At 44.9% G+C, this 9,779-nt stretch overlaps 2 annotated features.

The window, feature by feature from the left end:
* Positions 1-501: an enhancer, noted in NCBI's record as "NANOG-H3K4me1 hESC enhancer chr5:158862958-158863458 (GRCh37/hg19 assembly coordinates)". NCBI's record gives its function as "activates a minimal SCP1, AML or CMV promoter by ChIP-STARR-seq in primed H9 embryonic stem cells {active_cell/tissue: H9 hESC(primed)}" and the evidence as "EXISTENCE:reporter gene assay evidence [ECO:0000049][PMID:30033119]".
* Positions 8,907-8,986: an enhancer, noted in NCBI's record as "active region_23547". NCBI's record gives its function as "activates an Ori minimal core promoter by ATAC-STARR-seq in GM12878 lymphoblastoid cells {active_cell/tissue: GM12878}" and the evidence as "EXISTENCE:reporter gene assay evidence [ECO:0000049][PMID:35858748]".

Here is a 9,779-nt window from a genome sequence, read left to right as displayed (position 1 = left end):
CCATCTGGTGAAGAAGATGCATGGGCAAGATATGGCTGGATGCATGCCAGGACTTGTCTAGATGCACAGACGATATGTGGCCAAATGCTCCACGGTACCAGACACAGACAATGAGTCTTCCAAATCCTGGAGGGCTGGGGCCACCTGCTTTCAGGAGCTGGGGCCTCAGAATTGAACAGACCTGGTTCAGTGTCACCCTGTGTTGGCAGGACCCCCAGTCCCCTCTTCTCTGTGTTCTGTGATGGTGGTGAAGAGTGCAAGTGTCATGTCAGACAGAACTCGGAAAAAAAACAGCTCTGTAACCCTGGGGGCATAATTTTATCTGTCTGAGCTTTAATTTCCTCTGTCTGTCAAATAGAGTTGATGGTGGGACTGATGTCATAGGTTGTTAGAATTAAAATGAGTCACTCCATATAATGTGCCTAGAATGATGCCAGGCACAGAATTTGTATCCAGTAAGTGGTCACTGCCATTGTGGTTGGAAATACTCTGGCCATTTTTATTCTCCAAATTCCACCACACATCCAGCCTCTCCATTAGCTAGCACTGTGCGGCATGCATTCTCTCTGTAAGCCTCAGCCATTGAAGAACTGCCCAGAGAGACAAGGCAAGGTGAAAATTACATCCAATCCTATGTTCACAGGGACCAGACGAGCAGATTCAGAGTTGGATTGGATTTGGTCATTCGTTTATTCATTCATTTAATTATCCACAATTATGTGTTGAGAAACTCTTGTATGTCAGGCCCTGCTCTGGCTCTTGGACCACAGTCAGCAGTACAGAGATGGTCTCTGCCTTCAAAGAACTCACATTCCAGAGCAGTGCTGTTCAACAGAAATCCCACAAGCACATATGTGACTATAATTTTCTTGTGGTTGCTTTTTTTAACAGGTGCAAGGAAGCTTAATGATATATTTTATTTAGCCCACTATATCCAAAATATAATCATTCTGATATGTCATCAATATTAAAAATTAGTAATTGGATACTTTACATTCTTTTCTGTGCTAGGTCTTCTAAACCCAGTACGTATTTTTCACACACAGCCCCTTTCAGTGTAGACTGGCCACAGTTCAGGCACTCAGTAGCCACAAGGCCTCTGTATTGGACAGAGCTGCTCTCTTGTGTGTGTGAGGGAGCACCACCTTGTTTTTTAATTTTTTATTTTAATCAGTATATTGAAGAGTTATCTTCACTTCTATGCTTATTGCAGCACTATGCATAATAGCCAAGACTTAGAAGCAAACTAAGTGTCCATTAACAGACAAATGGATAAAGAAAATGTGGTACATACACACAATAGAGAGCTATTCAGCCATAAAAGAGAATGAGATCCTGTCATTTCCAACAACATGGACGGAACCAGAGGTCATTATGTTAAGTGAAACAAGCCAGATACAGAAAGACAAACATCACATGTTCTCACTTATCTGTGGGAGCTAAGAATGAAAACAATTGAACTCATGGAGATAGAGGTAGAAGGATGGTTACCAGAGGCTGGGAAGGGTAGTCAGTGGGGATAGTTAATGGGTACAAAAAAATAGAAAGAATAAATAAGCCCTAGTGTTTGCTAGCACAACAGCGACTATAGTAAAATAATAATAATAATTGTTCATTTTTAAATAACTAAAAGAATAGAATTGGATTACTTGCAACACAAAGGATAAATGTTTGAGGTGATGGATACCCCATTTACCCTGGTGTGATTGTTATGCATTGCACGCCTGTATCAAAATATCTCATGTACCTCAAAAATATATACACCTACAATTTACCCACAGACATGAACATGTTTTGGTCTCCCCCATCCCACCCCTGCAAAGCCTTCACCATTTTTCAAATCAAATCTAAGCAACAGGCAAACCTGGCTTCAGACCCCAGCTCCTCTAATTATTAGCTGTGAAAATGCAAGATCCTTGTTTCATTTGATTTCCTGGGGCTGCCGTTACAAAGTACCATAAAGGGCGGGGGTGCTTAAAATAACAGAAATGTATTCTCTGACACTTCTAAAACCAAAGTCCAAAATCAAGGTGTTGGCAGGGCCATGCTCTCTCTAGAGGCTCGCAGAGAGAACCCATTTCACACCGTTCTCTTAGCTTCTGGTGTTGCCAGAAGTCCTTGGTATTCCTTGGCTTGTAGATGTGCCCCTGCAGTCTCTGTCTCCATCATCACAGAGCATTCACCCGTGCATCTGTGTCCTCATGTGGCATTCTCCTCTCTATGTGCACCTGCCTCTGTATCTCTTCTCTTCCTAAAGGATAACATTCATATCAGATTAAGGGCCTGCCCTACTCCAGCATGACCTCATCTTAAACACATCTTGATTACATCTGCAAAGACCCTATTTCTAAATGGGGTCACATTCACAGGTACCAGGGGTTAGGACTTCAACCTATCTTTTTGGGGTACACAATTCAATGAACAACACAGGGCCATTGTGAGGATTTGACAATCCACTGTGTGCAAATGCTCCGACATCTCAAAGAGACTCCTTTTATAGTCTCTGCTGGCATCTTGGCTGCTAGATCTCTGCTTGCCCTTATGGCTGACACCAGCCATCTCTGGCAGTTCCCATCACCCCCAGACTTGCCAGCTGCAGGGCATGTGACTCAAACTAGAAATGCACAAAAGGTGACTCCCCATGGAGCAAGCTTAGCTACTGGGGGACTCAAAATGGGAAAAAAGCAGAAGAGGTGTTTGCCCTCCTGTAGAGCCCTGCTCAGGCGGCAGAGGTCCGTAAGACCTCTTGGGACTGTCCAGCAAGATGGAGTAGCCTACAGGGCTGCTGCAGAACGGTGGTCACAACCGTAACACATTCCTTCACGTTACTCTCCTCCTTCACCACCGCACGCCCTTTCCCTCATGCCTTCTTCCCTAAGGTCACACTCCTGCCCTGGTTTGAGCACACGATCCCTCAGATTTGCTTGTCTAGAGTATCTGGACTAAGATATTCAATAAAGGGAAGTTCTATTACCTTTCCAGATTCCGCCAAACAACATCACCTCCACCCCACTCCGACCCCAGTTACTTCATGCTCCCAGGCACCCTGAACACTTACAGCTATAGTAGCACTTAGCAGATCATAATTACTTGCTTCCTTGCCTGTCTCGCCCACCAGTCTGTGGCCCCTGCCATGAACTGCACTCTCTTCATGCTGTATCCCAGCACCTGCATGGACCACTTTCTATTCATCACTCTGTCCCGGGCATCCAGCACTCAGATATTTGATAAGTGACTTGCTGTGATTCAAGTAGCTAGGATCTGCTGACACACGAGGAGGGTGTCTATAAAATCTCTCTCACTCACTCCCACCCTGCCCCTGAGATAATGCTTTTCTATCAGCTTACTGATGCCAGAAACCATGTTTTCCAGGAGACAAAAATCATAATAAGCGATAAGATTTAAAAGCAAATATTGCTAAAAGAGAAAGCATAAGCCCTTAAATGGTAATGAGGGTGTAAATGACTGAGAATGGTTCTTTTCTGATAGGGGCTGGGGAGTCATGGGGTGGTGGAGGTAGGGGGACAAAGGTGGGGCAGAGGTGGCCAGCCCAGGACATTTTATTCTCACATAGAATCAACACCATGCTGCCAGCCAAAGAGACAGCTACCTTCTGGGGGCAATCTGAGGGGTGAAAGGTGCCTCTCCCCCAAGTTAGCTCTGCCATTGATCTGCTGTGTGCCCCAAACTCCCACCCCTCCACGGATCAAGTATGCAATGCAATGAAAGAAAACTCACGAAGCCAGAATACCTGGTTTTCCCACTGGCATTTCCACCTGCTACTGTGTGACCTTGGGTGAAGCCTTTATTCACCCTCTCAGTTTATTTAAACATAACATTAAGATGATGATGACGATGATACAATTCTCTGGTTTATTTACAGGGTCATTGGAAAAATAAAAAAAAGTCACATGTATGAAACTGCCTCCCAGTATGTAAAGTGATTTGCACATATAAGGCATGTATGTATGTGTTGAATGTATGTGTTTGAGACATGGTCTCTCTCTGTTGCCCAGGCTGAAGTGCAGTTGTGTGGTCATAGCTCACTGTAACCTTCAACTCCTGGGCTCAAGCAATCATCCTGCCTCAGCCTTCTGAGTAGCTGGGACTACAGGTAGGAGCCACCACGCTTGGCTAAGTTTTCTGTATTTTTTGTAGAGACAGGATCTCACTATGTTTCCCAGGCTGGTCTCCAACTCCTGGGCTCAAGCAAACCTCCCACCTCAGCCTCCCAAAGTGCTGGCATTACAGGTGTGAACCGCTGTGCCCAGCCAAGATAGTTATTATTTTTAGAACTGTGGTGAGGACCTTTTTTCTTGGAAACCTGGAGCTCTCAGGGAGGGGAAAGTCAAGGGGCAGAAATCCAGCTCTCTCTGTGTGCCTCTCGACCACTCACCCCCATGGGCGCCATTCTGCGTCTAGGGTTCTGGGTGCTAGGAGTCCATCTGCCCCTCAGGCAAAGGGGAGCTGTCACTATTCCCCTGTATACTGTCACTCAAAGCTCCTGTTCCCAGCCCCCACAACCCCAGGATAATCTGAGCTCTAGGCCTTTCTCCCAGAGTCAACAGGCTCCCCCAAAATGACTAAAACTCTGCCTGAATTGGAAGCTATGGAGCACTCAGTTCTCACCTCAGCTTTAACTTGTCAGGGTGGTTCCTAGACATAGGCTTTCCTCTTTGGGGGAAGGTTTTAATGAAGAAATCTGAAAAGTGAATAGGACCACAGTGTAAAACCAGAAAAGTAAAAGCCACAGCAGTGTCTCCTCCCAGGGAGGGTTTCTGTTCTCTGCAGGAAACACCCCGAAATCTAGACTTTTCCTTTCTAACTCTGCATTCCTCCTTGCGCACTGCCATTTCTGCACTTTCAGTGAGTCAAGGCAGTTACAAAAGCCTGCCCAGGTTCAAGGGGAGGAAACACAGACCCCCGCTTCAATGCAGGTGTGTCTCATTATAAAAATGTCCCCAGTGTAAGAGCAGCATGGAGGATGGGCTATACTTGGTGTGGCTATCTCCGGAAAATACTAACTGCCATACTAGCTCTTTAATGAGGGGGAAGAAATGTTCATTAAAAACTATTAACTCAGGCTAAAATATAAAACAGAAAATAGTGAATAAACATTCATACCACAAGAAAACAGCATGCTTGCCCAAGCATCCCCTTAGAATACATTTTGATAATGATAATAACAATTTGCTAAGAGCTTCCCAGCTATAAAATGTCTCCCCATCATTACCTCCTTCCATCCAGCAACGCTGTGAAGCAAATACATCCATTTCCCTGTTAGGGAGATGGAGGTCCACAGCAGTGCCTCACCCTGACTCACACATTTGTTAGTGAGAGTTTTGAGACTGAACCCAAGGCTTCTGACTCTAATTATGGGTTCCTGTCCACATCTGACCAGCAACCAGTTTGAGTGATATTTAGGATCTGTTTCACAGAGTTTGAAAGTCAATACAAAATGTTCAGTCTAGTGATCTGGCTGTGGCTTTACCGCAGTTTGAGTCTGAGCAAATCACTTTCTGAGTGTCAGTTTCACCATCTGTAAATGCAGAAGATTGCACTACAGGAATTGAAACTTTTTCCATGTAAAGAAAAATGTAAGCAATCACACCCTTTCTCCAGGCAAAATCTTACATGAGGATTCCTACTCTATGAAACATCTGTTCAAAAATAGAGCTGCCCTACCCACCAAAGCTAAACATGCAGCCACCCAGTAACCCTGCAATACCACTCTGGGTATATACCCGACAGAAATGTGTTCGTTTTTCCCCAAAAAGGCTGTGCAAGAGTGTTCATAGCAGCTATGTTCATAACATCAAAATATGGAAACAACCCAAATGTCCATCAAAAGCAGAAAAGCTAAATAAATTCTGGTATAGTCACACAACAGAATACTACACAGCAATGAAAAAGGGTGGGCGGCTCCTACATGCTAGAACATGGATGAATCTCCCAGACATAATTTTGAACAAAAGAAGTTAGACAAAATGAACGCATGCTCTACGATTCCATTTATATGAGTTCGAAAACAGATAATATGAAAATGGTGGTTCTCTTTGGTGACAGCACTGATGGGAAAGAACCAGAGAGAGCTTACTGGGACTTTGGAAAGATTCTTTATCTTGATCTGTGGTTACATGGGTGCATAAGTTTATACAAACTCATCAGGCTTTATTTTATTTCATGTATCTTTTGAGACAGGGCCTCACTCTGTCACCCAGGCTGGAGTGCAGTGACACAATCAAAGCTCACTGCAGCCTCAACCTCACGGGCTCAAGTGATCCACCCACCTCAGCCTCCTAAGTAGCTGAGACTACAGCCATGAGCCACCATGCCCAGCTAATTTTTGTATTTCTTGTAGAGTTGGGGTTTTGCCATGTTGCCCAAACTGGTCTTGAACTCCTGAGCTCAAGATATCCACCCACCTCAGCTTCCCAGAATGCTGGGATTCCAGGCATGCATCACCATGCCCAGCCTCATCACATGAATTGAAATTCGTGTGCTTTATTATATATAAGCTGTACCTCAACAACAACAAAAAGGGTAAAAAGAGAAATGGAACGACTTTGGTTGATGCAAACCAGAAGGTCTTGAAGACCCCTTTGCTCAGCCTCCATCCCACTGCCTCTATCGATTCATACCCTTGACGGACTCTAAGCTTCCATATGTACAGTTTAAAAGACCATCAGACTAGACCATGTCTAAGGAACTCCCAGCCCTGACAGTCTGTGATTCGCCTTTGGGATTCAGATGCAAATGCCTTTCCCTGGAAACCATCCGATATGGTTTGGATCTGTGTCCCCACCAAATCTCAGGCTGAATTATTATCTCCAGTGTTGAAGGTGGGGCCCCATGGGAGGTGACTGGATCATGGGAGCAGTTTCTCATGAATGGTTTAGCACCATCTCCTTGGTGCTGTTCTCATGACAGTGAGTGAGATCTCACGAGATCTGGTTGTTTAAAAGTGTGCAGCACCTCCTCCTCTCACTCTCTTTTGCTCCTGCTCCTGCCCCATGAAATACCTCACTCCCCCTTTGCCCTCTGCCATGATTGGAAGCTTCCAAAGGCCTCCCCAGAAGCAGAAGCTGCTTTGCTTCCTGTACAGCCTGCAGAACTGTGAGCCAATCAAACCTCTTTTCTTTATAAATAACCTAGTCTCAGGTGTGCTTTTATAGCAGTGCAAGAATGAACTAAGACATCATCCTACAGGTGACAACTGTTTCAAATGTCCAAATCCCCACTCCATGGTTACCTTATCTCACCCCGTTCTTGTCACCTTCTTCCCCACCCTCCAATGCCCAAAGCCCACACACTACCCCAGGACCACAGCCTCCTACTCAACCCTCCTTAAGCATCCCCATCTACTCCCAAAGTCCCGCAGGGCCCCTGCAAGCTTACCTCCTGGTGTAAGCACAGGCTCCAGAGTTCACCCACCTAGGTTCAGATCCTGGCTCCTCTACCTGTAGCTGGATGTGCTTTCTATTTATACGTTGAGGTTGACTAATGGTACATATCGTTGAATTGTTAGGAAGATTAAGATAGTACCATGGAAAGCAATTCGCACAGTGTCTGATGCATCCTAAGTGCTCAAGAAGTGTTAGCTAGTGTTCTGATCATTGTTAACTGTCCCCCTCCTGTTCTATTATCACACACTTATGGATCAAAGAGAGACAACAGCTTTTTAAAAATTAACAATAGGCCAGGCGTGGTGGCTTACACTTGTAATCCCAGGACTTTAGGAGGCTGAGGTGGGAGGATCACTTCTTGAGCCCAGGAATTTGAGACAAGCCTGGGCAACATAGTGAAACTCTATCTCAATTAAAAAACAAAAATTAGCCAGGCGTGGTGGCATGCACCTGTTGTCCCAGCTACTTGGGAGGCTGAGGTAGGATAATGGCTCGAGCCCAGGAGGTTGAGGCTGCAGTGAGCCAAGGCCGTGTCACTGCACTCCAGCCTGGGCGACAGAGAGAGAGTCTCCGTCTCAAAATAATAATAATAACAATAATAATAATCTAGTAGAGTGTTTACCACAGCTGTGCTGCACATCCTCCTCACAGCTTTTTTTGAGTAGACTTTGCGTTGTGTGCCCAAAGTCACATAAATGATCAAGGCTGGAGTCAAAATTTAAATTCAAGCCCTACTGACTCCAAAGCTCATAGTCTGAGCCTCCATGCTATTTGCTTAAGAAACTGTGTAATGCAGTTGACGGAGAGGGTACTTAATCTAAAGGAGTGAGCATCTGCTGGGGCCACTGGTGTGATCGAAAGAATTTAGAATCGGACAGATCTAGGTCCAAATCCTGGGCTGTGTGCTTCACCAGCTGCGCAGACTTACACTCATTGCCTTAACTGCTCCAAGCCTCAGTTAGCTCACCTGTAAATTGAGACGCCATTGTGGAAGGCATTAAATGAACTTCATAATGTAGCCAAAACTTTATAAAAGCTAATCCTGGGGATTTCCAGCATCAGGTGATGCAGATGGAGAGTGATTTGAGGAAGGGAGTATATACTTCATCCATGCTTCACCCAGATCTCCCTCCAGTTCAAAACAGAACCCTTCACCCAAGGACAGCCCCTCCTAAGACTGGGGACTTTTTTAAACAATCAAATGATGCCTAAGTTGCAAATGTTAACTTTGTGGTCTGGTCTCTCTTCCTCTGTTGTCAGTTTTAAAACAGTTGCTAAAAACTAACATCCCCTCTCACCCTATCTTCCCCTTCTTGTTTGCAAGACAGAGCCTATTAGAGATTTCAAGGCAGTTTTGCTTTCAAATGGCCCATCTTTCTGATTCCCTCTTCTTTCTCAGCCTGAGCTCAGCATGACTTTTCCTCCCTACCTCGTTCTGCTCTACACACACAGCTATGCCATACATGAGGGCAATTCGGGTGACACCCTAGACTCTCTGATTTTACAACTCCCAGTTTGCAGCAAGAAGCAGGTAGTGAAGTGGATTCTCAAAGGGAATCAGAAGGGGAAAATAATTTGGCCATCAATATGAGTAAAAAACCCCAGACACTCATATACACCCCATCTAAACATAACCCTTCGCCACCCCCAAGAGGTGAGGCAGTCGTGTTCTCTTGCTCACTTCCACATAACTTGCTACAAAGTCTTTTGGCGACACTCCCTTTGTCGCCTTTAATGTGTTGCTCTAATGACCCACATAATGAGATTGCACCTCTCCAGGCCTGAATAAATGTCATCCCGTGAAGTGGGCATCTTCAAGGAGCTGGGAAAAGTACAGCCTTCCTGGAAGGGCATTTTGGCTAAGAATTAAGTCTTTAAAAAAGGCTGATACCCAATAACTACAATTGTACCTAGTTTATCAAGGAGTCTCAGCTTACCACTGTTTCAAACACAGAATTGCCACCAACTGTGTGTTCTCAAATCCTCTTTAATGGTGCTTGACATCATCTTAGTGCAATTCCATTTATTTCCAGTTATTAAGGGTTATTCAGTGACATTTTTGTTTCTGTAGGACTCAGTCCCATGCATTTCAAAACTTGAAACTTGTTTTCTTGTAATGACTCTCTTTTCCTCACCACGCCCAAACACATACACAAACCTAGACTTGAGTTTCTAAGCTGCTTAAAGGTTGTAGGGGAAAGAGGATGGTCTCTTCTCACCACGCCATCTCCTATGCGCATGCCCTCTGCTGTTGGGGCAGGATGGAAAGAGGGAAGGACAGAGATGTTTCCTCATTTAGCTGCTTATGATGAGGAGCTGATCCTTTTTATTTCAGTGGTCACTGGTTCCTGGATAATGCAGACTGAGCTTTGA

The sequence above is a fragment of the Homo sapiens genome, chromosome 5, assembly GCF_000001405.40.
Source record: "Homo sapiens chromosome 5, GRCh38.p14 Primary Assembly".
NCBI lineage: Eukaryota > Metazoa > Chordata > Mammalia > Primates > Hominidae > Homo > Homo sapiens.
The sequence above is the reverse complement of the archived record's forward strand: the minus strand, read 5'-3'. Positions and strand labels throughout refer to the sequence as shown.